This window comes from Homo sapiens, chromosome 3, assembly GCF_000001405.40.
Source record: "Homo sapiens chromosome 3, GRCh38.p14 Primary Assembly".
Classification (NCBI taxonomy): Eukaryota; Metazoa; Chordata; class Mammalia; order Primates; family Hominidae; genus Homo; species Homo sapiens.
In genome coordinates, this window is record NC_000003.12 from 127,614,653 (window position 1) to 127,641,478 (window position 26,826).

At 48.9% G+C, this 26,826-nt stretch overlaps 2 protein-coding genes and 1 long non-coding RNA gene across 5 annotated transcripts in view, besides 5 other annotated features; 2 read left to right on the plus strand and 1 right to left on the minus strand.

The window, feature by feature from the left end:
- Nucleotides 1-7,784, plus strand: part of MCM2 (minichromosome maintenance complex component 2) — a 24,026-nt gene extending 16,242 nt beyond the window's left edge. For all 3 annotated transcript variants that reach the window (NR_073375.2, NM_004526.4, XM_024453531.2), the window contains exons 9-16: nt 1,210-1,303; nt 2,216-2,466; nt 2,627-2,753; nt 3,317-3,429; nt 4,375-4,626; nt 6,046-6,228; nt 6,421-6,576; nt 7,011-7,784. Coding sequence is in view for 2 of the 3 variants with exons in the window: in NM_004526.4 (NP_004517.2) it covers nt 1,210-1,303; nt 2,216-2,466; nt 2,627-2,753; nt 3,317-3,429; nt 4,375-4,626; nt 6,046-6,228; nt 6,421-6,576; nt 7,011-7,121 (1,287 nt within the window). In the remaining variant the exon portion in view is untranslated. The remainder of the gene's footprint in view (nt 1-1,209; nt 1,304-2,215; nt 2,467-2,626; nt 2,754-3,316; nt 3,430-4,374; nt 4,627-6,045; nt 6,229-6,420; nt 6,577-7,010) is intronic.
- Nucleotides 2,183-2,683: an enhancer, noted in NCBI's record as "H3K4me1 hESC enhancer chr3:127335678-127336178 (GRCh37/hg19 assembly coordinates)". NCBI's record gives its function as "activates a minimal SCP1, AML or CMV promoter by ChIP-STARR-seq in primed H9 embryonic stem cells {active_cell/tissue: H9 hESC(primed)}" and the evidence as "EXISTENCE:reporter gene assay evidence [ECO:0000049][PMID:30033119]".
- LOC107986126 (uncharacterized) lies at nt 7,751-14,311 on the minus strand. Its single transcript, XR_001740892.2, has 2 exons — nt 14,154-14,311; nt 7,751-7,870 (listed from the first exon to the last, which is right to left on the minus strand). It is a non-coding gene; the product is annotated as an uncharacterized LOC107986126 (long non-coding RNA).
- Nucleotides 14,466-14,535: a silencer, noted in NCBI's record as "silent region_14692". NCBI's record gives its function as "represses an Ori minimal core promoter by ATAC-STARR-seq in GM12878 lymphoblastoid cells {active_cell/tissue: GM12878}" and the evidence as "EXISTENCE:reporter gene assay evidence [ECO:0000049][PMID:35858748]".
- The window catches only part of PODXL2 (podocalyxin like 2), a 43,618-nt gene continuing 31,324 nt past the window's right edge, over nt 14,533-26,826 (plus strand). Inside the window, exons 1-2 of the mRNA NM_015720.4 lie at nt 14,533-14,637; nt 24,593-24,871. Coding sequence (NP_056535.1) covers nt 14,568-14,637; nt 24,593-24,871 — 349 coding nt within the window. The 5' untranslated portion in view covers nt 14,533-14,567. The remainder of the gene's footprint in view (nt 14,638-24,592; nt 24,872-26,826) is intronic.
- Nucleotides 14,646-14,775: a silencer, noted in NCBI's record as "silent region_14693". NCBI's record gives its function as "represses an Ori minimal core promoter by ATAC-STARR-seq in GM12878 lymphoblastoid cells {active_cell/tissue: GM12878}" and the evidence as "EXISTENCE:reporter gene assay evidence [ECO:0000049][PMID:35858748]".
- Nucleotides 15,176-15,235: an enhancer, noted in NCBI's record as "active region_20458". NCBI's record gives its function as "activates an Ori minimal core promoter by ATAC-STARR-seq in GM12878 lymphoblastoid cells {active_cell/tissue: GM12878}" and the evidence as "EXISTENCE:reporter gene assay evidence [ECO:0000049][PMID:35858748]".
- Nucleotides 24,193-24,693: an enhancer, noted in NCBI's record as "H3K4me1 hESC enhancer chr3:127357688-127358188 (GRCh37/hg19 assembly coordinates)". NCBI's record gives its function as "activates a minimal SCP1, AML or CMV promoter by ChIP-STARR-seq in primed H9 embryonic stem cells {active_cell/tissue: H9 hESC(primed)}" and the evidence as "EXISTENCE:reporter gene assay evidence [ECO:0000049][PMID:30033119]".

The following is a 26,826-nucleotide window of genomic DNA, read 5'->3' on the forward strand; positions in this document are numbered from 1 at the left end:
TTTTCTTTGACTTACTAGTTTTAAAAATAATGAATTGGTTCCCAGGTGACCTGGGTATCATAACAGACAAATAGGCCCGCCGGGTGTTGAGGTTTCCACGCTGCAGGTGTCATCCCTACAATGCTCAAGTGTCCCTTTTTTGCCAGCGTGAACCTATTCATGTTGGCTCCTGAGTTCTGTTGACATGACCCTGGTTGTCTTTGAGTGATTTTTTGCTTTCTGGTAGAAGATATTGCAGGCTTCTCTTGTACATTTCCAGCCCCGGACCTGGAATTGGACATTTCTCCAAGAAGCCCCGTGGGAAGTGTTACTTGCTTTCAGAGGGAGATAGGAGTTAGAGACACCTCTAAAGCTGCATGAATTTGATGGTGCAGGCAGGACATACAGGATGCAGCCTGATGGGGGTGTCTCCCCTCCACCTTCAGGGCTGGTTTTCCTGCCTTAGTCCCCTCTCCCCAGGCGAGGGCCAGTGCTTTCTGAGCTTCTTTGTCTGTCCTACAAGGAGGGAAGGATGTGGGTGTGGCCAGTGCAGGGGGGTATGAAGGCTGAAAGCTATCAAAACATGGCTCTGCTGCAGGTGGAGTTGGAAGCAGTCTCCTACAAGCAAGAAATGTCTTTGATGTCTCTAATTCTATCTAAAATTCATGAAGATTTTGCTCTCTCCCTGTCTCTTTCTTTCTCTCACACACACACTGAAATAGAAATGTTCCAGTGACTCACTAGTTGGAATTACTTCCTGGTGGACACATCTCCCAGATGTGCCACATTTATTGCATTGACGAGGCAGGCACTTGCATGAACTGTCGCATTTGTACCCACCCTTCTGTGAGTTGGATGTTGCCATCTCTCTTTTCCATATGAAGAAACTGAGGCTTGAGGTAGGCCAGTGCCATGACAGACCTGGTTCTGGTCTTATTTCTGCTCTTGGTCTGTGATCTTGGGAAAGGCCTTTCTGAAATATGTCAAGATTAGGGGTTCAGATGAAGGTTCTTCTAAACTCCAAAGTTCTGTGACTCTTGGGAAGAGCCAACTAATGAAAAGCTTTAGAGTCGGGCACGGCTTGATACCAGGGCCTGATGCAGTTGCAGCAGCTGTGGAAGTGGGTGTCTTTGAGCTGGGGATGTCGTGGTTCCCTGATGCCAGAGCATGTGGGTGACCTACTCTGTGAGTATCTGTTCCCATTCTTGTCGGTCTCCCTCCCTTTCTCAGATCTTTGCCAGCATTGCTCCTTCCATCTATGGTCATGAAGACATCAAGAGAGGCCTGGCTCTGGCCCTGTTCGGAGGGGAGCCCAAAAACCCAGGTGAGCACCCACCTTTCCTCTGCAGGGGTGTTAGCAGCTTTCTCTTTGGGGAGCCAGCATTCAAAGAAGGACACAGTGTTTTTAAAGCCTGGGTGCTGGGGAGAAAGAATGCATTAAAAGATGGTCTGGCTGGGCGTGACTCATTCTTCAAGGGAGAGGGTGGCCCTGAGTTGGGCATTCTGGGTGTTGGGCTGTTGGTCAGGGAGCCAGTGTCTGCCTGCTTTTGTGATTTAAGCAAATGAGTCTTTGCTTCTCTTCTATGTAAAAAATACTTTGTCTTTTAAAAACCTGTTTTAAGTACAAAAATACTATTGACACATGAGTTTGTATTTATATTACACTTTTATAGAACACTAAAAGTCATGGGTGAGGCTGATTTCCCCATTGACCCCCACTTCTCTTCCTAGTCCCTCCCTTTGTGGCCATTTACAATTACACAGCAACCACAGGGTTTCATGACTACACGTGTTTATTTGTACAAGCGCAGCGTCCCCTGTGTGTGCCCAGTGCTGTGCCTGTGCGCAGTGCATCCCACCGAGCTCTCCCGCTCAGTGCCACACTGCAGCATCTTTTCTTGTTAGTGCATACAGAGCAATTGCCTTCTTTTAAATGACTATCATGCCACCAGATAACGCAGTTTATTTAGCTCTCCCTTTGGAGAACACTTAGATTGTTTCTGATATTTCACATTCGCCAAGGACATCTCGTGCAACCCTCCTCTGCACCCGTGTGTGTTTCCCTGGGAGTGCCCAGAGTGGGACTGCATGGCGTAGGGCATTGTATCCCTTTCTAGAGGGACTGTGCCTTACCATTCCTAACAAGTAGGTTGAGGAATTGGTGGGGGATGCAACTGTGCCCTCCTCCTCTCACTTCCCACTCTCCCCCTCCCCCGCTTCTACTCATCCCCTCCAGGTGGCAAGCACAAGGTACGTGGTGATATCAACGTGCTCTTGTGCGGAGACCCTGGCACAGCGAAGTCGCAGTTTCTCAAGTATATTGAGAAAGTGTCCAGCCGAGCCATCTTCACCACTGGCCAGGGGGCGTCGGCTGTGGGCCTCACGGCGTATGTCCAGCGGCACCCTGTCAGCAGGGAGTGGACCTTGGAGGCTGGGGCCCTGGTTCTGGCTGACCGAGGAGTGTGTCTCATTGATGAATTTGACAAGGTGGGTCCCTGGGTCACGGAGGCTGGTGGAACTCAGGGGGTGTGTGTGGGCTTGGGCCTTAGCGACGGGAATGGTGTTAATGGGGTCCATTGGGACCTCATCGGAGACTTAGTAGTAGGGGCGTGAACCATGCTAAGGGTGGGCCATTTTAATCTTGCAGATGAATGACCAGGACAGAACCAGCATCCATGAGGCCATGGAGCAACAGAGCATCTCCATCTCGAAGGCTGGCATCGTCACCTCCCTGCAGGCTCGCTGCACGGTCATTGCTGCCGCCAACCCCATAGGTGCAGCAGGCACCCTGACTGCTGGGGCTGGGGTGGGACACAGGGAGGTCCCGCCTGCTTGAATTGGGAGCCCACGGGGTCCCCAGGAGCCGATCTGAGGAAGTCATTGTGCAGCAGAGGGTTCCCCTCTTCTGCATATCCTGCCAGAGTGGGGAACAGTGAAAGTGGGACCTGGGACACCTGGGTTTCCTGTTGAGTCATGTTCCTGGAATCACCTTGGATGTTCTCAGAAGGCATGGGAGGAGAGCCCAGTGCCCCTCTGGCCAGGATGGAGTTGGCTGTTGGTCTCAGCAGCGAATGCGTAAAAGAACCCAGGCTCTGTCACCCACTGTGTTCTTGGTTTTTCCTCCTGGGGAAGCAGTTATGCTTTCTGTCTAAATTAGGCTATTTTGGGCCCTGGTTAGGGTAAGCTCTTTGCTGTCTCAGACAGCAGGTGCTAAGTACCCACCTATGTCTTCCTCTTCCACTGCCCTCATCCCCTTCTGCCATCAGAGCAGCCTGGGGTCCCTGAGATGGGAGGATAGGGGAATCCACCCTGATGGAGGTGCTCCCCTGTGTTTCAGGAGGGCGCTACGACCCCTCGCTGACTTTCTCTGAGAACGTGGACCTCACAGAGCCCATCATCTCACGCTTTGACATCCTGTGTGTGGTGAGGGACACCGTGGACCCAGTCCAGGTATAGCTCACATGTGCCCGGTTTCCATGAACTGTGGTTTGGGGACCTCAGGTGAGGCTTGGGGTCATACAGTGTGCCCAACACAGGGGACAGGTGCTGCAGGGGCCATAGGCTGTTTTCTAGTCCTGTTCCCTCGGTCTCTTCTCATGTCCAGAAGTCGCCCTGATTTCTCTTTCCTTCACAGCACCCCCGACCCCCACCCTACATAACCCACAATCCACCAAATCCTGTTGTCCCAACTCCTGAGCCTACCCACCTCCCTCACTTCTGCCTCTGACTTGAGGCACTACCATCATCTGAACTGGCCTCCTGGCACCCATGTAGACTGTCTTCCAGTTGAAGGCATAAATCAGATCAGCCCCGTCCTTAACAACTGCTTGAGGCTTTCTGCTGTCATCAGAATAGAATCCAGGGTCCTCCCCTCCGGCCCGCACCCGCCATCTCTGCAGCTACCTCCTCCTCGCTCCCTTCCCTCACCTGCACCTGCACCTGCCCTTCTCTCTCAAAAGGGCCGAGCCTTGGGGCTTGATTGTGCTCCTTGCTCCTGGCAGACGCTCTCCCACACTGTCACATGACTTGCATCTCATTGTCGTCATCTCAGCTCCCTGTCTTTCAGGGAGGGGCTTTGCCGGGCACCCTTAGCTAGAGGCATCTCCTTGGTCCCTTGATCCTATCACTCTATTTTTCTTCTGAGCATTACTTTCCATAATTAATTTTTAAGACTATTTGTCTCCTGTCCCCTTGTGGAGATGAGCCCTGTGGGGACTCTGTCCCATTGTCTGGTTTGCCACCCACACCCAGAACTGCCTGGCACATGGTCAGTGTAGTCAGTCTTGTTGAAAGAGTGTCACCCTTGTAGGGCACACTCAGCCCTTCTCCAGCCACTGACCTCCCCAAAGCCACGCACACCCACAATCAGACCCACCCTCTCATGGCTTATCTTAGGACGAGATGCTGGCCCGCTTCGTGGTGGGCAGCCACGTCAGACACCACCCCAGCAACAAGGAGGAGGAGGGGCTGGCCAATGGCAGCGCTGCTGAGCCCGCCATGCCCAACACGTATGGCGTGGAGCCCCTGCCCCAGGAGGTCCTGAAGAAGTACATCATCTACGCCAAGGAGAGGGTCCACCCGAAGCTCAACCAGATGGACCAGGACAAGGTGGCCAAGATGTACAGTGACCTGAGGAAAGAATCTATGGTGAGAGCCCAGGCAGAGCCGGGAGGTGCTATGCAGAGAAGGAAGTGCAGTGTGAGCCTTCTGACCAATGCAGCGGGGGTGGTGGTCAGTCAGGCCAAAAGGTGCCAGAGCAGGGAGGCATTAAAAAAAAAATGTAGGTGCCAGGCACAGTGGCTCACGCCTGTAATCCCAGTACTTTGGGAGGCCGAGGCAGGAGGATCACGATGTCAGGAGTTTGAGACCAGCCTGACCAACATGGTGAAACCCAAAAATTAGCCGGGTGTGGTGGCACATGCCTGTAATCCCAGCTTCTCAGGAGGCTGAGGCAGGAGAATCGCTTGAACCCGGGAGGCGGAGGGTGCAGTGAGCTGAGATCGCACCACTGCACTCCAGCCTGGGTGACAGAGTGAGACTCCATCTCAAAAACAAAAACAAAAAATGAAAGTTGGGTACAGTGATTCATGCCTGTAATCCCAGCACTTTGGGAGGCCAAGGCAGGAAGATTGCTTGAGGTGAGTTCAAGACCAGGCTGGGCAACATAGTGAGGCCCTTTCTCTACAAAAAATGTTTTGAAACTTAGCTGGGCCTGGTGGTTTGTGCCTGTAGTCCCAGCTACTCAGGAAGCTAAGGAAGGAAGATCTACTTGAGCCCAGGAGTTCGAGGCTACAGTGAGCTATGATGGCACCACTGCACTCTAGCCTTGGTGACACAGTGAAACCCTGTTTCAAAAAAAAAATATTTTTTTAAATGATAGGTATTAATATATACCTTAACCATTTTGTTTTAGATGAAATTTAAATGTGCATTCATTTGTCTCAGTGTAGGGCCAAGGCCTTAATTGTTGATGTGCTTATTAAGTTCCATATTGACTTTGTGTAAATTTCACTCTAATGAACACAAGGTCTTTGGCTCATTCATAGTGGAATGGAAACTTAAAGCAGCTTGCAAGCCATGGGAATGCCGAGTCCTTGTAGATTGCTGCCTCAGCCACACCCAGTCAACACAGCAGCTTTTCAAATTTCTGCCTTTTAACTTTACCAAGTTTTTTCAGATCATTCAATTTAGTTTTCCTACAAACAACGACCTTTTTTTGCACTTACATTGTACAGGATTATTCAATATTTAGTGTGTGACAATAACCAATACAGCTGGCCACAAATACAACAGCCTCTGAGATGCACAGAAGTCAGCTGGTGGGAGCAGAACTGTGCAGGTGTGATGGTGACAGGCCGTAAGCATGCAGCATCCACTGGCATCCTCTGATTTCCAGGAGGGATAGGAAGTGTGCATTCACTGGGCAGCGCAGTCAAGCATTCTGCATTTCTGCTGGGGCACTGTCAGATGGGTCTTCTTGGCTCTGGGTGCTAAGAGTGCCGCTGCTTTATTTTCCTTGCTTCTCTTTCCTGCCCGTGAAAGACCTGACACTGTGCTTCTCTCCAGGCGACAGGCAGCATCCCCATTACGGTGCGGCACATCGAGTCCATGATCCGCATGGCGGAGGCCCACGCGCGCATCCATCTGCGGGACTATGTGATCGAAGACGACGTCAACATGGCCATCCGCGTGATGCTGGAGAGCTTCATAGACACACAGAAGTTCAGCGTCATGCGCAGCATGCGCAAGGTGGGTGTGCTCCGAGGTAGGGGCCTGATGGGCAAGCTCAGTGAAGGAGGCCACACGTGGGTATCCAGGGCTCTGGCCTGGACGTGCACCCAGGAGCGGCAGCCTGTCTGACCTGGGTGCTGGCACGTAGGGTAAAGGGAGTGTGGCAGGCGTAGTGGGAGCGGGTGTTTGACTGAGGCTTTTTTCCTGCAGACTTTTGCCCGCTACCTTTCATTCCGGCGTGACAACAATGAGCTGTTGCTCTTCATACTGAAGCAGTTAGTGGCAGAGCAGGTGACATATCAGCGCAACCGCTTTGGGGCCCAGCAGGACACTATTGAGGTCCCTGAGAAGGACTTGGTGGATAAGGTATGGGCCCGGAAGGGAGGTGAGGGTTGGGGTATGCTGACTTGGGAGCTGCCAGTCTCCTGATGGGGGCTCCATCATAATGGGTCATGAAGTGGGTGGGCCTTGGTTGACAGCCATTTATTGAATGCTTACAGTCTGTTGAGTCCAGTTCTGTGCCTGTAGTCTGACAGCAGGGGAGTGAGGTGAGTCCTGTTACTGCCTTCCTGTTGTGCAGAGGTGGAGACAGATACAGGGCAGCCAAGTAACTTGTCTCAGTTTACACGCACAGCTTGTACAGCAGAGATTTGAAGCCCCTTAATCGGCCTCTCCACCCCTGGATATTTTCCTCCCATAAATGGAGGTGATGGTGTCTGAAAGTGCACTGTAACTGGGGCGCTCTGGAAACAGCCTGTTCTCACACCACTGATGGCTCACTGGACACTTCCTCCTTGCAGGCTCGTCAGATCAACATCCACAACCTCTCTGCATTTTATGACAGTGAGCTCTTCAGGATGAACAAGTTCAGCCACGACCTGAAAAGGAAAATGATCCTGCAGCAGTTCTGAGGCCCTATGCCATCCATAAGGATTCCTTGGGATTCTGGTTTGGGGTGGTCAGTGCCCTCTGTGCTTTATGGACACAAAACCAGAGCACTTGATGAACTCGGGGTACTAGGGTCAGGGCTTATAGCAGGATGTCTGGCTGCACCTGGCATGACTGTTTGTTTCTCCAAGCCTGCTTTGTGCTTCTCACCTTTGGGTGGGATGCCTTGCCAGTGTGTCTTACTTGGTTGCTGAACATCTTGCCACCTCCGAGTGCTTTGTCTCCACTCAGTACCTTGGATCAGAGCTGCTGAGTTCAGGATGCCTGCGTGTGGTTTAGGTGTTAGCCTTCTTACATGGATGTCAGGAGAGCTGCTGCCCTCTTGGCGTGAGTTGCGTATTCAGGCTGCTTTTGCTGCCTTTGGCCAGAGAGCTGGTTGAAGATGTTTGTAATCGTTTTCAGTCTCCTGCAGGTTTCTGTGCCCCTGTGGTGGAAGAGGGCACGACAGTGCCAGCGCAGCGTTCTGGGCTCCTCAGTCGCAGGGGTGGGATGTGAGTCATGCGGATTATCCACTCGCCACAGTTATCAGCTGCCATTGCTCCCTGTCTGTTTCCCCACTCTCTTATTTGTGCATTCGGTTTGGTTTCTGTAGTTTTAATTTTTAATAAAGTTGAATAAAATATAAACGCTGGTATCTGTTGGCTTCCATTCCGCTTTAGTAAGTAACCTGGACTTCCGCTGAAGGCCCTTTCCACCTTCTCCGTTCAGAGTTCTGTAGGAGGTAGGTCGGGTTAAAAAAGCTGTTTTGTTTGTGGATGTAGAGAAAGCAAAAATGATATAGATATCCCCATTGAACTTGGTTTGCAGTCACTGCCTCTGTGATATCTAAGTGGAATCCATGGAAATCCTAGTTAGACGTGTATAGGACTAGAGGTGGTGTAGCCTACCCCACAGTGGGGCAGTACCATCCACCACCTCACCCAGAGATGAGGTGCCGGAGGGACCTCATCAGCCTCAGCTGATGGGCTGCCGGAGGGATTGCAGTTCCCAGATGGGGTTCTGACATCTGTCTTGTCCAAGTTTTCCCTTCTTGAACTTTTTTTTTTTTGAAGTAAGTTTTCAGTCGCCCAGGCTAGAGTGCAGTGGTGCAATCAGCTCACTGCAGCATCGACCTCCCGGGCTCAAGCAATCGTCCTGAGTAGCCTGGACTACAGGCACACACCACTACGCCTGGCTAATTTAAGTTTTTGGTAGAGATGAGGTCTCACTCACTATGTTGCCCAGGCTGGTCTTGAACTGGGCTCAAGCGATCCTCCCATCTTGGTCTCCCAAAGTGCTGGGATTACAAGCCTGTGCCACCATGCTCAGCCTGGAGTTACTTTTTAAAGGAAAAGGTGCCAGCCACAGGAAAATGGGCTGAAGCATAGGGCAGGGCAAGGATTGAGGCCAGAGTCAGGCAGGTCACACAGGACTTGTGCTCTAAGGAGGCTCTAGTCTGCCACAGCAGGCAGCCAGCAAGAGGGTGTTCAGGACAGCAGTGGTCCAGTGGTCTTGGAGAGCTGGCTGGCCACCAAATCATACTGAGAGGAGAAAGGACGGAAGAGTGGAGACTTGGGTGATGGAGATGGGGGAAAGTGGACATAGGTGTATTTTGCAGGTAGATTAGACAAGATGTAGTGATGAGTAAGATGTAGGGGTAGGGCAAAAAGGAAAAACCCTGGATGACCAGGTCTGTGGCTGGGGAAATAGGTTGAAGTTTAGTAGGGAAAGCCAGGAGTTTCATTTCAGACATGTTGGCTAGACAGGCCTTTTAGACATCCAAGTAGAAATGTGAAGTCTGCAGGCAGGTTGAGTCGACCACTGAGCAGAGGTGTGGGCATGAGGAGCGGTCATCATAGCTGCCACTGTGGGGCTAAGTGCCATCACCCCCAGAGTGCACAGAGAAATGATCCAGGCTGGGTGCGGTGGCTCACGTCTGTAATTCCAGCACTTTGGGAGGCTGAGGTGGGCGGATCACATAGTCAGGAGTTCAAGACCAGTCTGGTCAACATGGTGAAACCCAGTCTCTACTAAAAAAATACAAAAATTAGCTGGGCATGGTGGTGTGCGCCTGTAATCCCACCTACTTGGGAGGCTGAGGCAGGAGAATTGCTTGAACCTGGGAGGCAGAGGGTGCAGTGAGCCGAGATCGTGCCACTGCATTCCAGCCTGGGCGACGGAGCAAGACTCCATCTCAAAAAAAAAAAAAAAATGATCTGGAAGGCTACGTGACACCCATCATTTGAAACAGCAAAGGAGACAGGAGGAAAATGTGGCAGAAAAACCAGGGGAGAAGGGTGTCTGTGGAAGCCAGGAGAAGAAGAAATTTCCAGAAGATTGAGGTCAGTTGGCCAACGTAGCTGAAAGATCAGGTGAAATGACAAACCTGCCCACTACCATGTTTCATTGAATATAAGATGCCATTGAAGATAAGAATCACCATTTTATGTGCTTCTGAGGAAAAAATGTAAACATTTATAATGATGTCATCAACCTTCAGATGTCCTTTTTTTATTTATTTATTTATTTAGAGACGGAGTCTTGCTCTGTCGCCCAGGCTTGCTCTGTCACCCAGGAGTGCAGTGGCACGATCTCAGCTCACAGCAACCTCCGCCTCCAGGGTTCAAGCAATTCTCCTGCCTCAGCCTCCTGAGTAGCTTGGATTATAGGCCTGTGCCACCATGCCCAGCTAATTTTTTCTTTTTTTTGTATTTTTAGTAGAGATAGGGTTTCACCATGTTGGCCAGGCTGGTCTCAAACTCCTGACCTCAGGTGATCCACCCACCTCTGCCTCCCAGAGTGCTGGGATTAGAGGTGTGAGCCACCATGCCCGGCCAGACATCCCAGTTTAGATGTGCACCTTTGAAATACAAGCTTTGTGGTAATGTGGGAGTTGCTGTAGCCTCGTCCAGCAGTTTCAATCCCTTGGTGACAGTGGAAGCCAGGTTGGAGTGCGGATAGAATAAACAGGAGGTGAGGAGGTAGAAACTGCTCATGGAGAAAACGCGTGAGAAGTTTGGCTCCAAGGGGCGTGTGAAATGGGACAGCCAACAAGGTATACAGGACCACAGTGAGGCTTTTCCGTTGATGTTTACTCTAAGACTGGAAAATTAGATTTTTTTTATTCATGCGATAGAATTTATTAATGGATTAATTTGAAAGATAATTATGAGTGAAAAAACAAGATGTGATACATATATGTAAACATTTAAAACATACCGATATTACATAATGTGTGTGTACATACGTGTGTGTGTGTGTGTTTGTATATTAAGGATAATTTACGCCAGCAAGGTGGCTCATGCCTATAATCCTAGCACTTTGGGGGGCCAATGAGGGCGGATCACTGGAGCCTAGCCTGGGAAACATAGTGAGACCCCATCTCTACAAAAAAATAACAACAGTTAGCTGGGCATGGTGGCACAAACCTGTAATCCCAGCTACTCCAGGAGCTGAAGCAGGAGGATCACTTAAGCCTGGGAGAGCGAGGCTGCAGTGAGCTATGGTGGTGCCCTGGCACTCCAGCCTTGGTGACAGATCCAGACCCTGTCTCAAAGAAAAAAAAAACAAGATAAAATGTGAGCTTGGGTATTCTTGTGTTTTTTACAGGTTTATTGAGATATAGTTTACATACCACATAATTTAAAATGTACAACTTGGCCGGGTGTGGCAGCACACACCTGTAATCCCAGCTACTCAGGAGTCTGAGGCAGGAGAATCGCTTGAACCTGGGAGGCGGAGGTTGTAGTGGGCCAAGATCACACCACTGCACTCCAGCCTGGGCAACAGAGCGAGACTCTGTCTCAAAAATAAACTAATTAATTAATTAAAAAATGTACAATTCAATCGTTTTAGCATATTTGCAGTTGTGCAAATTATCACACTTTTAAAACATTTTCATCACTCCCTTCCCCCAAAAAACATACCCATTAGCAGTTACTCCTCTTCCTTCCCCACCAGCCCTAGGCAACCACTAATCTGCTTTCTATTGCTAAAGATTTACCTATTCTGGACATTTCATAAAAATTGAATCATATAATATGTAGTCTTTTGTGATGGGCTTCTTTCACTTAGAATAATGTTTTCAAGGTTCATCCACGTTGTAGCATGTGTCAGTACTTTCTTTGTATTGCTGACCAACATGCCATTGTATGGGTATGCTACATTTTATTTATGCATTCATCAGTTGATGAGAATTTGGGTTGTTTCCACCTTTTGATTATTATGACTAATGCTGCTATGAACATTCCTGTAATGTATTTGACTAGACATATGTTTTCTATGCTCTTAGGTATGTATTAGGAGTGGAATTATGAAGTCATATGGTAACTCTATGCTTAATCTTTTGAGAAACTGCCTATGTCCAAAGCAGCTGCACCATTTTACATTCCCATCAGCAGTGTACGAGGAGGGTTCTTTCTCCATATCCTATATAACACGTGGTCTCTCTTTTTAATTCTAGCCACCCACCTTAGTGAGACGCAAAGTGGTTTCCTTTTTTTTGAGACAGAGTCTCGCTTTGTCACCCAGGCTGGAGTGCAGTGGTGTGATCTCAGCTCACTGCAACCTCCACCCCCTGGGTTCAAGCAATTCTCATGCCTCAGCCTCCTGTGTAGCTGGGATTACAGTCATGCACCACCATGCCAGAGTAATTTTTGTATTTTTAGTAGAGACAGGGTTTTGCCATGTTAGCAAGGCTGGTATCCAACTCCTGACCTCAAGCTATCCACCCAGCCCGGCCTCCTAAAGTGCTGGGATTACAGGCGTGAACCACCGTACCCAGCCTGAGAAGTGGTTTCTTATTGTGGTTTTGATTTGCATTTATCTGATGGTTAATGAGGCTGAGCATGTTTTCATGTGCTTATTGACATTTGGAGGAATGTATATTCAGATCTTTGTCCATTTTAAAACATTGAGTTGTCTTTATTACTGACTTGTAAAAATTCTTTGTATATTCTAGATACATGATTTCCAAATGTTTCTTCCCATTCTGAGGATTGCCTTCACTTAAATTTTTGTTTCTTTTTTTGAGACAGAGTCTCACTCTGTCACCCAGGCTGAAGTGCAGTGGCACAATCATAGCTCACTGCAGCCTTGAACTCCTGTGCTCAAGCAATCCTCCCACCTCAGCTTCCTATGTAGCTAGGATTACAGGTGTGTGCCACCATGCCTGGCTAATTTTAAAATTTTTCATAGAGATGGCATCTTGCTTTGTTGCCCAGGTTGATCTTGAACTCTTGGGCTCAAGTGATCCTCCCACCTCAGCCTCCCAAGTAGGTAGGACTACAGACATGCACCACTACACCTGGCTAATTGATTTACTTAGAGATGGGGGTCTCACCATATTGCCAAAGCTGGTCTCAAACCCCTAGCCTCAAGTGATCCATCCTCCTACCTCAGTCTCCCCCAAGTAGCTGGGATTCCAGGCACATGCCACCACCCCTGGCAGCTTTAGAGTTTTCTTCATTTGGAGCTTACATATCTGGTTTGGTTTATTCCAGTTTTTAATAATTGTTGCTGTGATTGCGATCTTTTCTCCTACTACATTTTCTAAGTGGTTATTGAGGATACACAGAAAAGCTATTGATTTCTGTACGTTATCTTTTATTCAGCAATCTTGCTGAACTCATTGGTTTTCAATTATTTTGCCAACTGATGATCTTGCATTTTCTAGATAAACCTGCAAATAATGAGTTTTCCCCCAATACTTTCATCCCATTTCTTCTATCAGGCCTTGTTGCAGTGTCTCTTATAGAATATTCAATCATTGTGGTGGTAGTGAGGATTATTTTGTTCCATTCACTTAAAAGAGAATGTTTCTAATGTTTCATCATTAAGTATGGTTTCACCATTAAGTATGATAATAAAGGTTTCTGGGAGATACCCTTAATGGAATTGAGGACGTTTCCTTCCATTTCTTGTTTGCTTCTAAGATCTTTGTTTCTTGTAACAGAAAAACAAAACAAAACACAACAAAAAACCAAAGGGATGCTCCTTTCATCCTCAGAGGAGGAAAGAAGAGGGAAGCTGGGTCTAGACACACCCTGGATTTCTCTTTTCCAAGCCCAGCTGACAGCCACTTTTCTAGTACCCCTAACACCCACCAAATAAAAGGTGCTACATTTTGCTCATGTTCTTTCTTTTGTCTGGAACCCATTTCTTCCCTATGCTCCTCCACCCCAACTCCTATTTCTCCTAAGTATTAATATTTAGTCTGGAAGAGTCCCGTGAGATTATCTCCAATGTCTGATGCTATACCCCTGCATAGGGGGGTGGGGATATACTTTGAAAAAGCATATTCAAATAACGATTTGTTATTTTAAAGAAGTGTTTTCCTAATATGGTATATATAAAGTAACATTCCACAAAATTGTGGTTGCTGTATATTTAAGCTGCAGTACTTCTAAAAGGGTAGTCGGGGTTTTTCTCTCCCTAAAAGAGGCTGAGCTTCTTTCTAACTCAGGAACTCTATCAGTGAGCTTTTCCCTCTGCCTTGTAAGTTCTCTCCCAAACCCAATCTCCTACCTAATACCCACTCATCCTTCCAGATGCCAGCCAGCTTACCTTAAATGCTGTTTCTTCAGGAAGGCAAGCATAAGGTTCCCCTCTGTGCTGTCTCCTAGCCCCTTATACTCCTTAACAGACCGACTACCAATTGCAATCATAGGACCATATGTGTGTCCATTTTGTTTTTCAGTCTGTTTTCTCTACGAGCCTAAACTATGAGGACGAGGGATGTGCCTGTTTTATTTACCACTACAGTGCTTGGCATATTAAGGATCTTCAGTTGCCAAAAGGGAGCACATGTTAGAGAAGTCAGCACCTCTCTCATAATCTAAAACCCCCCAGTTAGCAAATGGGGCAAGTGGGGCCCAGAGGTGAGAAGAGATTTACTCAAGGTCTCGGAACCAATCTGATCCTGAGCCAGACTGCCTAGCTCTAAAGTCCAGTTCTTTGCTCTCAGGTTCTCCTTCAGGGCTCACCCAATCTAAGTACCCTGAGAAGTCTTTCCTTACCCCAGGCCTCTGTCCACCCTCACAGTCATTTCCACGCGTCGTCCTCGTCCCATCAGTCCCATCTGCCACAGCTGCCCACTCTGCTTCCCAGGGAACGGGTGACCGCGCGGGGAGAGAGCGGCATCCGGGCGCGAGGTGCGAGGCCCAGGTCTGCGGGCGGCCGGGCCAAGCCCCCGAGCCTCGGCGGTGCTGATTGGCCGGCCTGGCGGGGGGGACGGGCGGAGGGACGGCCGCCCGCGCGTCCGCTTCGTCTCCGCGGGGGCGCGCCCGCGGCACGCGGCCGGGCGGGGCCGGGCGTGAGTGACGGCCATGCGGACCAATGGGGCGGGCGCGCGCCGCCGCCGCCGCCCGCGCGGCCCCTGACGCGGGCCCGGGCGCCGCGCCGCTGCGGCTGCAGGCGGCGACGGCTACACCATGGGCCGGCTGCTGCGGGCCGCCCGGCTGCCGCCGCTGCTTTCGCCGCTGCTGCTTCTGCTGGTTGGGGGTGAGTGCGCTCCGGGCCCGAGCGCGGGAGGGCGGGCGGCGGCGTGGGCGCGGTGCTGGACAGCTCCCCGGGCCGCCAACAAAGGGGCCAGAGTGCGGCGCCGCCGGGAGCGCGCGTGTCCCGGCCGGGCCGCGGCGCCGCCCCGACACACGCGCACGAGGAGTGGGTGCGTGGGGGCCGCGGCGGGCGCCTGGCGTGCCGGGCGACCCCCGACAAAGGCGCGGCGGTGAAGCTGGGACACAGCACCGTGGCCCCCACGCCGCGGCTCTCAGGGGCAGGTGCGCAGGCTGCTGCCTCGCGGGCCGGGGGGGCGCGCACGTGTGGGTGTGCATGTGTGTGCGTGTGCTTGTGTGTGTGCGAGTGCATTGTGTGCCTGCGCACTCGGGGGAAGAGGCGTGTGTGACAGCCACGCGGGGAGGAGGCCGCATTGTGAAGGTCCCAGGGGCCGCCTGCGGAGTGTGGGGCGGGTACGCTGAGGCGCGGGTGGCTGTTTACGCGTGGCGTTGCCGGGAGGGAGTGTGAGTGTGTCACGGTGAATGGGTATTCTCTCCTGTTCTGGGCGACTCTATTAGGAGCTGACAAAAACGGGCGTACAGCCACGGAAGGCCCGTGACAGCACACGGCGGGAGGCTCCCACGCAGCTCACACACGAGGGAGGTGTGAGACTCAGATGTGTGGTTTCCATTCAGCAGCCACGCCGGGCGGCGGGCTGTGTGGGTGCGTGGCGGGCTGGGGGTGTGGCACAGGTGTGAAAGGGATGTGTCTGCCTGAGAGAGAAAGAGACGGGCCTCCTGATGGCTTCCAGCGCAGACGGGGATTTAGTGGAGGGGGTGTGTAGGGAGGTGGGCATGGGGTGTGACAGCCCATGAGGCAGGCGGCCACTATGGAAATGGCGGGGAGAAGGGCTGTCTGCAAAGGTGGGTCAAATAAGGTCATAGCTGAGCAGCTCCTGCACACACTGGCAGAGCAGAGGGAGTGTGTTACGGTGTATGTTAAGGTGTGACTGGTGCTGCTGGAGGAATACCCGGATGAGGAAGTGTGCATGTGTGCCTGTGCACACTCATCAGCCAGCTGTAACTTCACTTCTGATGCACACGTCAAAATAGCGTCCTAGTATGATGTGTGTATGTGCATGTAGGAGTGTGTATGTGCATGTAGGAGTGTGCACAGGACATTTCCCACGCAGCTGGCCCATGAAGACACAGGCACTTTGTGTCCAGATGTGTGTGAGTGAAAGAGAAACTAGTGAAGGGTCTCTATGGGAAGGGAGGAACAGTCTTTGCCTGAGGTGGGCCATGAACCTGGGACTCAGAGTGGCAGAATCCCAGGGTAAATGGCTGGGAGGGGAAAGTGGTCCCTCGCACATTCCTGTGCATGTCATGGGAAGGCTCAGTTCAGGGAGGGTACATTTTCTCCACAGTCAGTCTAGGGATGAAGAAAGGCCCTAGGTGGTGTGCACAGAAAAACATGTCCATCAGTGTTGGCTCAGACACTCACACAAACCCACCTGTATTCTTTCACGCCGTAAATCCTCTTTGGAAAAAGGCGACATTCAATAAATAAACATCAATTGATTGGTCTGCTATTTCTTTGTGTGACAGTCATAAACCAGAACTGGCCAGCAACGTCCTCATGGACCCAGGCCCAGCTGTAACTGCCCATGTGCTTATGTGACCAGCTGTGAGGACTGCAGGCAGCCTGCCTCCCGGCTCCTCTCTCCCGTGCATGCTCTTCATGACGCACTTCTTACCCCCTGCTTGGAGGGCATGTGCGTGTGTCTAGCAGTGTGTCTCTTTCTTACACACCTTTGTGTGGAAGCCCTTCAGGGACCTGTCAGCATTGTTTCTCAGGTGCTTACAGAGTGGAGGTAGCGTGACTGTGCTCAGCAGTTCCTGTTGTCGCTGACACTTAAGGGTGAGGAGCTGTGTGACAGATGCTGCAGGGCCCCTCCCATGTTGGTGTCTGCCAAGAGCTTAGGGAGACTGGACTTCAAAGACCCTGCTTAGGGGAGAGGTGGGGTGTAGCTGATGGTGGAAATCAGAAAGGAGTTTTGCACCGGGAGCAGATCACAGGGACTGATTTGAAAAGGTAAGATAAAACATGAGGATCGCTGGGGTCTTGTTTTTTTCACCTCCCCAAATGTCAGCCTGCTTCCTTTGCCTCCTTCTGTGTTTGTTTGGGTCAGATTTTCATTTCTTTGAGGCTGATCCCCTAATCCTTTTCATGTGCCATCTTTTTCTCTCTCCTCTGTTGGGTGTGATGATGTAACAGAAAATTATAGGTGCTAGAGGGAAAAAGGAAATCAATCACACGCAGAGTGTAATTCTGAAATTTTAAGTCAGGTGGGGTCTCAATTAAGGCAGATTAATTATTAAGTGCAAAACTAATTATACACAGAATGGCTATGTCTCAGCTACTATTTTGGTGTCATCTTATGGTGGGCAAGTTTGAAAATAAGTAACCTCTTGTAATTACTTAAATAAATACCCATTGCCAAGGCCTTTGAAAATATCAAGTTCTATGTAAAGACAAAACAGTCATTAGAGGGAAAAATAACTTTAAGAAAATGAAACTGTTTACTGGAAAAGGAATGAAAAACCGGGAAAATACCAGATTCCTTTTTCTTCAGTAGGGTTTTCAAAATCTTTGCCAATTCCTATTAGACCATTGGGAAGGGAAGACAAAGAAGGAAAGGGAGAGATGTTAGAGGAAGGTTATGGGTTCCTGGCTTGACAGGTGGGAGAGCTCAGAGAGGTGGGGGCTCACTGGAGCCATGGAAATGACAGGGAAGGGGCCTAGCAAACACACCAGACCACAGTACTGTGCACAGACAGCTGGACTGACTAGAAAGTGTTTTATCCCCCAGAGTGGGGAAGGAAACAGGCTCCTCTGGGCACAATGACCTGGAGAGGGCAGAGCAGTCTTCTTGAGTTCCAAGCCATTCCGAGGAGCCAGAGTAGGGTGTAGACGGCAGCAGCCTCCCCGCCTGCCATGCCACAGCCTCTCCCTGCCATGCCACAGTTCAGCTCCGAGAGAGAGTGCCAAGGTTTGAGAGACAACCCGTGTTTAATCCTTCAGTGGTTTTGTAGAGAGTGAATTTCAAAATTCTTAGGGAGAATCAGTTTACACTTTTCTAACAAGGCTGAAGTAATATCTTTCCCAGCATACCTGCTGGAGGTTGGAGCATGCAGATACAGATCTCCAGTTCATGGCCCTCTCAAAGGCAGGCTGCCCGGGTGCCCCGGGAACCTATACAATGTGTATTATTTAATTATTATAAACATTTTCCATCAGTTGACTTTTTTCTTCCTGGAATGCATGAATGAGTTTTTCCAGATTTGTTTCTTGTATTTTGGCTCCCTGCCAGCCCTGGGGATACTGCTTTTGCAAAGCAGTCTGCTACATCGGCTCATATCCCCTAAAGAACTTAGGGTTCCACTTCCCAAGAGTTTGTAATTTTCCTGAGGGCAAAGCCTGTCTCTTGTTCATCTGTCTCTTGTTGCACCTCCAGGAAGGGCCTAACACACTGTTTGGCACAGAATAGGAGCTCAGGAGTGACTGTATTTTTCTTTGTAATCGAGAGTCTAATAGAAATTTTACCTCTAATAAGAGCACAGCCCACCTGAAACCAAAGTTCAATTATAATTGGATCACATCTGATTGGCAGTACTACATGATTCTGATTCACTTTTCAAAAATTAGAAAATAACTATTAAATAAGTACAGTTTATAGATGAAACATTTCCAAACACAGGGGCCACATGCAAATGTAAATAAAGGGATTCTTGCTTGTGAAACATTGGGAATCACTTTACTAATTTGGTCTTTTTCAAGAGAAGAGATTCCTTCAATTGATTGGATTGGTTGTGGGGACCCTGGGCAGAGTGTTTGGAAAGGGGTATCTTCTAGTTTTTAGCTCTGGCTTCTTTCCCTGGCCCTTAAAGCACATGAAATATTTAAGCTGTTTTACATATTCTCTTCCTTCACGTATCCTTTGGAGGAAGGAAGGTACCCAGCCCCACAAGTAATAGCTTTCCATTCTTCTTCCTGGAGCATCCACAAGATGTTTTTGTGGGGGAGAAACCAGCTAATTTCAGCTCCTCTATTAACTAGCTGTTTGACCTTAATCCCACTAGGCCTCAGTTATTTCATTTGTAAAACAAGAGGGTTGGATTACAAATTTTGTGTGTGTGTGTGTGTGTGTGTGTGTGTGGGAGAAACCAGCTAATTTCAGCTCCTCTATTAACTAGCTGTTTGACCTTAATCCCACCAGGCCTCAGTTATTTCATTTGTAAAACAAGAGGGTTGGATTAGACTACTAATTATTTATTCAAACCTTTATTGTGTCCCCATCATGTGTAAAAGGTTGTGCTAGGCACTGGAATTACAGGGTGGAATTGAAACAAGGGACTCCTCATTTACAATGGAGGCTGTATGAAGGTCTCTTACAATTTGGTGAGAAAAGTGGCGTGACAGTAGTTTGTTGAGAAGGCTGTGATAGAGAGGAGTGGTGTCTCATCCAGACTTGGAGTGGCCACAGAAAGCTTCTCGGAAGCTGAGACTGCAGGCAGGAGTGAGAATTAGCAGGTGGGTGGTGGGACAGGACAGAGATGGGGAGATACGGATGTTCAAGCAGAAGAGCATATGCAAAGACCCAGAAGGCAAAAGAGGCGGCTGTGTTCTGGAAATTGCAGGTAGTCAGTTTGTCTGAAGCGTAGAGTATGATTGGGGAAGGTGGGTGCAGAGAGGGGAGGGGAGGTAATGGTCAGTTTATGAGAGCCTTCTCGCCTTTTCAAAGGATCTGACCTGTATGATAGAATGATAGAACCAGATTTGCATTTTAAAAAGACCTCTCGGCCTGTGCAGTGGCTCACGCCTGTAATCCCAGCACTCTCGGAGGCCAAGGTGGGCAGATCACCTGACGTCAGGAGTTTGAGACCAGCCTGGCCAACATGGCGACACCCCGTCTCTACTAAAAATACAAAATTAGCCGGTCATGGTGGCACATGCCTGTAATCCCTGCTACTCGGGAGGCTGAGGCAGGAGAATCGCTTGAACTCGGGAGGCGAAGGTTGCAGTGAGCTGAGATCACGCCATTGCACTCCAGCCTGGGCAACAAGAGAGAAACTCCATCTCAAAAAAAAAAAAGTTGACTGGGCACAGTGACTCACACCTGTAATCCCGGCACTTTGGGAGGTTGAGGCAGGCAGATCACCTGAGGTCAGGAATTGGAGACTAGCCTGGCCAACATGGTTAAACTCTATCTCTACTAAAAATAAAAAAAAAATTAGCTGGGCGTGGTGGCAGGTGCCTGTAATCCCAGCTACTCGGGAGGCTGAGGCAGGAGAATCGCTTGAACCTGAGAGGCGGAGGTTGCAGTGAGCCAAGAACGCGCCATTGCACTCCAGCCTGGGCGACAAGAGTGAAACTGTCTGAAAAAATAAATAAAAATAAAAAATAAATAAAAAGACCTCTCTGAGCTTTGTCACTCAAAGTGTGGTCCACAGACCAGCAGCATCAGTCACACCTACTGTGTCAGAAGACTCGGGTGACTCACACACATTTCAGTCTGAGAAGCGCTGATTAGAGGGCAGTGTTCGGGACAGATGAGTGCAGGGGGAATTGCTAGGGGTTCGTAAAAGAGCTCTCTTTTTCTTCCAGCGGTGAAGCACTATGAGGACTGTAATTCTAATGGAGGCGTCTCTCATGTCTACACATCTATGTTTCTGTATCGTCTCTGCTGTTTTGCTTTATCGTGAAGTGTGGGGCATTTCGGCCATGTGCCCCCCTGAGTGGCATGGTTGTCTACCCTAGAGAAAGGGAAACTGAACACATGTTCCTGAGATCCCGGTGTTGTTATTTCCTCCAGCCTCCTTTCTCCTTCACAGTGTACTGAGCACAGTTAGTACAGTGCCATGAGCAGTTCTGTTAGTAGCTACCTTTGAGATCTCTCTCCCTGCCCTACTAACCCTGTGGCTCAAACAGAGTTATATGGTCACTGTTACACTATTCCATAATGATTTGTTTTCTTGCTGGTCTCTGTAGTAGAAACTGACCCTTTTGGGGCAGGGACCCTATCTTTCTTATTTCTGTACCAACATAGCCTTGGATCATGCCTAGTCCAAATAAGCATTTAATAAAGGCTTTTTGGTTGAAGAATGAATGAATGGATGGATGAATGAATGGAATTTAACCATTCAAACACTACTCTGATCCAAAAGGAGAACTTGATTTATAATTTGTCTTAATGTATCATTTGGCTATTTCTGTGTAATAAATCACCCCAAAATTTAGTGGTTTCAGATTCTCAGTTCTTAAGATCTGATCCCTGGACAGAAGCATCACCTGGGAACTTGCTAGAAATGCAAATTGTTGGGCCCCGTCACAGACCAGCTGGATTCAGAACTCTAGGGTGGGCTTAACAGTCTCTGTTTTAACAAGCCCTCATGGTGATTCCATGCTGGTTCAAGTTTGAAAGCACTGGATTAAAACGGTAGCCATTTATTTAGCTCATGATTCTGTAGTTTGGCAATTTAGGCTGCAGTCAGCTGGGTGGTTCTGGTCTCAGCTGAACTCCTTCAAGTTTGTCATCAGCTGTTTATCACCTTTGCTGGTCTTGTCTGGCTCTCTCACTTTGGGACTTCAGCTAGGACACTGAGCTGATCTGGCTCTCTTCTGCATGGGCTCCTGTTTTCCTGCAGGCTAGCCTTGAGCAGAATCCTGAGAGAATGGAAGCGTGCAAGGTATCTTGATGCCTAGCCTTGGAAATGGCACATCATCACTTCTGCATTGTCTTGTGTAGCAACTCACAAAGGTAGCTCAGATTCAAGGAGTGGAGAATTAGATTTCATCTCTTGATGGGAGGAGCTACAAAGTCTCATTGCAAAGATGTGTGTTATTAATTGGGAGTCATTGGATAACCCCTCTCAGGAAGAACCTTAAGAAGGTACTGTTTTGGGGTAGGACAGGGCACTCTGTTTCTTTCCCATCTACCTAGTAGGGGATAGATACTGCTTTCTTCTATAATATTCGGGCTAGGAAAAAATCCAAGAGTAGCTTAGGGTCCCCCCGTGATGTGAAGGGGAATTAGAGTGGAAGAGGTCATGGGAAAGTCTTGAGCTAGAGAGAGTACAAGTCCTTAATTCATCCTCTCCCAGGAACAAAGGGGAACTTCAAGGGGAGTGGACCCCAAATTGATTGTCTTGGCTTTCTCTGCCTTTTAAATACCTTTGGCTCAAAGAAACCACAAAATATGAGATGGCTGTTTCTCTCTTTGAGTCAGGGATTCAGACACAGGCTCTGGGAACATGACTTCAGCTTCGTGGAGCCAGGCCCTGCCTGGAAGCAGAATCTTTGTCCGTGGACATGGTGCCTAGGACAGCAGAAGACATTCCGGATGGGGTGTGATAGCTTCCTGGTTTGGACTTGGCAGAAGGCAATCCCCTGTGAGCAGTCCTCAGGAGCACTGGCAACACAGCAGTGCCATTGGCTCCCACCTGCCCAGGGTCACAGCTTGCCCACCCTTTAGGTATTTTTTTATTTTTATTTTTTTGAGACAGAGTCTCACTCTGTCGCCCAGGCTGGAGTGCAATGGCACCATCTTGGTTCACTGCAATCTCTGCCTCCCGGGTTCAAGCAATTCTCCTGCCTTAGCCTACCAAGTAGCTGGAGACTACATGCGTGTGCCACCATGCCCAGCTAGTTTTTGTGTTTTAGGAGAGACTAGTTTTGCCACATTGGCCAGGCCTGTCTCGACCTCTTGACCTCAAGTGATCCGCCCGCCTCGGCCTCCCAAAGTGCTGGGATTTACAGGTGTGAGCCACCACACCCAGCCCCATCCTCTAGTTATGATGATACTTTCTAAAGCTGAGAGTTGGGCCTGTGAATTATCTTATTGAGAGACAGAGCTTCACGGGATCTTAGAGGTTGGCACAGACGTTTACTAGCCCTGGTCAGATGCTAAGGCTCTGATGCCTCCTTAGCCCCGGCGTTGGCTTTGAGGCCATGTAGAATCACTCTGATATTCTTATTCACATCAACCTTTTGTTTTAATGTATTTGAAGATACCATGGTCTCTTTTAAATATTTTTTTCCCCGGGCCATGAACTTCACAGGTCTCTGTTTTTTATATAGGATAATAACACAATATTTGTAGAATAGTTTGGTTTGTAAAGCTCTTTGTAGAGCAGCTTTCACACATGGCTCACCAATTACCTCATTTGGTGCCCCTCACACTGGAGGCATGGTAGGAATTGGTGTCCTTATTACACAGAGGAGGAGAGCAAGGCTGGTGGTGGTGAAGTCACTCAGCCAGAGAAGCCAGAGTGTAACCTATTTCCTGGTACCAGGCTTTCTCTCCTGTTATATAGAACATCTTCCTGTCTCTGACCTCAGGGCGTCTCTCTTACCCTGGAGTCTCTACTTCCCATCCCCCATCCACACAACCCAGAATACACCCCTGTGGCTGGATGTGGCATTATTGGCTGTGAGTTGTCTGGCTGCTGCACAGTGTGCACAGACTCCCTCATACGGAGACTCACAGGACAGTCTGAAATGCTCATTTTTTTCAGTGGCCAGTCACAGTATTGGCACGTATCAAGCTTAGGGCCTGCTCAGCAAAGCACATGGCACCAATAATATTAGCCCTATTTTTATTATAAGCATCACTAAAAATTGCCATGTACTGTAGTCAAGTCAGGTCACAGTACACATCTGGTGTAGAGCAAGAGGAAGACTGTGAAATTCCCTCTTCCCTAGATCCTTAAGTGTTAGTCTTGGAAAAGAATTCAGAGGTCATTTCATTTAGCTTCCTTGTCTATCTGGTGAGGAGACTGAGACCCAGAGGTCTTGAGCAGCTTTCCAGGAGCCTCACAGCAAGTTAGTAATTTGTGTGGTTAGGTCATTAAGTTAGAGGTTAAGTTGTGAAACTGGCAAATAGGGCTATATTCCTGTCCTTAAAGAATGAGAGTGAAAGAAGAGGAAAAAGGCCTCCTTTAATTTGTTTTCCTGTCCATTTATTTGCTTGTTTTGGTAAATTAGGAGAGAGAGAGAATCCAAGATTCTAAACAAATATGTCAAATTACCAGCACTGGGTTGAGTTTGAACTGTGACCTCACGTGGTTTTTTAAAAGACTACGTTCAGAGGCTGGGCTCAGTGGCGCACGCCTGTAATGCCAGCACTTTGGGAGGCCTAGGAGGGCAGATCACTTGAGGTCACGAGTTCAAAACCAGCCTGACCAACATGGCGAAACCCTGTCTGTACTAAAAATACAAAAATTAGCCAGGCGTGGTGGTGGGCACCTGTAATGCCAGCTACTTGGGGGGCTGAGGCAGGAGAATCACTTGAACCTGGGAGGCGGAGATTGCAGTGAGCCAAGATTGCACCACTGTACTCCAGCCTGGGCGACAGAGCAAGACTCCATCTCAAAAAAAATAAAAAATAAAAAAACTAAAGACTATGTTCAGGATACTGTATTGCTGAAATACAAATGATATTCATAATGCAGTTTTGGAGAAATTTCAGCCAAGGATGGAAGCCTGGGGAACACTGTGTTCGTCCAATCATACTGCTAGGTCCTTAAAAGCATGGGCCCTGTCTTCACTTCAGTTTGTAGCTCCAACACCCAGTACAATTGCCAACAGAGAGAGGGTACTCAGGAGGCATTTTCTGAGTGACCACATGCGCAGTGGAACACTGACTCAGTGATTCCTCTCTCTCCCCTGCCTGTCTCCATCTGTCTCCCCTTGCCCCTGCCATAGGGAAGTCTAAGCAATTTGGCCTTTTTGAAATGAAAATAGTGTCTCAGAATCCCCGCAAAGCCTCTGGGTTTTCAGGAGTGTCCACTGAAGTCCCCCCTTCCCCAGGACCTTTGTCATTTGAGACATGCTCTAACCTGGCACCAGTCTTGTGTCTTCTCTAGCCTCCCCTGACTGTCTGGCTTTTATGTCTGCACAGGAGCGTTCCTGGGTGCCTGTGTGGCTGGGTCTGATGAGCCTGGCCCAGAGGGCCTCACCTCCACCTCCCTGCTAGACCTCCTGCTGCCCACTGGCTTGGAGCCACTGGACTCAGAGGAGCCTAGTGAGACCATGGGCCTGGGAGCTGGGCTGGGAGCCCCTGGCTCAGGCTTCCCCAGCGAAGAGAATGAAGAGTCTCGGATTCTGCAGCCACCACAGTACTTCTGGGAAGAGGAGGAAGAGCTGAATGACTCAAGTCTGGACCTGGGACCCACTGCAGGTAGCTCTTCTTACCTACAGAGCATGTGTTGAGTGCCAGCCAAGTGTCTAGGCAAAACACCAGGTGACCATTTCCTTGCCAGAAGCATCTCTTCTCTCTCCCTACAGTTTTTACCATGCTGCTGCTGTTTACCTGCACATCAGAGCAAAGGCTCTGGGACCCTGAATGTCTCACAGGCCCAGGAGGCCCTTTCTCTTTAATACTAACCACTGTTTAGGGAGCCTTTATTCTGTGCTCATTTAATTCAATCTGATGCTTATAACCTGAGAGATAAGTAATATGACCCCCCTTGTAGACAAGAAAACACTGAGACTGAGAGGTTAAAAGCTGGCCTGAGGTCAAACAGCAGCTCAGATGCTCAGTCATGATTCAGACCTATGGCTTTCCAAGCCCTGGGGCTCATTGTTTTGTTTTTCCCTACTGCTCTATGCTGTCTCTGTTGAAGATTGCCACAAGGTCAGCTGATCCATGTTTCCTTGAGTCTATCCGACCAGCAATTGAGGCATTCTAACCGCCCTTCCCTCAGTCATGCACCAGAGCTAGAGCTGGTGTTTGGATCTACAGAGCCCAGCTGGTGAACATTTGGGTCCCGAAGAAAGCCCGAGGCCTAGGGCTCCAGGTTTGAATGCCCACCGCCATGAGCTGACATTGATACAGATGCAGGCATGGCCCCTCCACCAATGTCCTGGGCCAGCAGGGCCCCATCTCTTAGTAGGGACTGAGGAATTGGTGTGATTGTGTGTGCACATGGGGCAAGGTGTTACAGAACTTAACCTTTAATTTTTCTTTTTAAAATAGGTAATATTTATTGGATTTACCTTTTCTAATTATAAAAGAACACATGAACATTGTAGAAAATCTGAAACACACAAAAATAATACAAAGAAGAAAATAAGGCTGGGTGTGGTGGCTCACGTCTGTAATCCCAGCACTTTGGGAGGCTGAGGCGGGTGGATCACTTGGGGTCAGGAGTTTGAGAACAGCCTGGCCAACATGGTGAAACCCTGTCTCCACTAAAAATACAAAAATTAGCTGGACATGATTGCGGGCATCTGTAATCCCATCTACTCAGGAGGCTGAGGCAGGAGAATGGCTTGAACCCGGGAGGTGGAGGTTGCAGTGAGCTGAGATCGCACCACTGCTCTCCAGCCTGGGCGACAAGAACAAAACTCTATCTCAAAAAAAAATAAAATAAAATAAAAAATAAAAACTACCTATAACCTGATAATTGAAAGATAATTACTATTAGTAGTTTGGGGATACATTGTTCTAGTCACTTTATGTGCAAAATTGGAATCATAGGGACATTTTGTTTTCACTCAAAATATTTCATAAGTATATTTCCGCATTGTTAAATATCCATTTATAACCTGATTTTTAAACATGTTATTATTTATTTATTTTTTTGAGATGGAGTCTTGCTCTGTCACCTGGGCTAGAGTGCAGTGGCGTGACCTTGGCTCACTGTAACCTTCATTTCCTGAGTTCAAGTGATTCTCCTGCCTCAGCCTCCGAGTAGCTGGGATTACAGGCATGCGCCATCACACCCAGCTAATTTTTGTATTTTTAGTAAAGACAGGGTTTCACCATGTTGGCCAGGCTGGTCTCTAACTCCTGACCTCAAGTGATCTGCCCGTCTCGGCCTCCCAAAGTGCTGGGATTACAGGTCTGAGCCACCGCACCCGGACAACATGTTATTATTTATTTATTTATGTTTAGAGTTGAGGTTTTGCTCCATTGTTCAGGTGTGATCATAGTTCACTGTAACCTCGAACTCCTGGGCTCAAGCGATCCTCCCACCTCAGCCTCGTAGGTAGCAGGGACCAAAAATGTGCCACCATGCCTGACTAATTTTTTCATTTTTTTGTAGTGATGGGGTCTTGCTATGTTGCCCAGGCTGGTCTTGAACTCCTGGGCTCAAGCGATCCTCCTCCCTTGGCCTCCCAAAGTGCTAA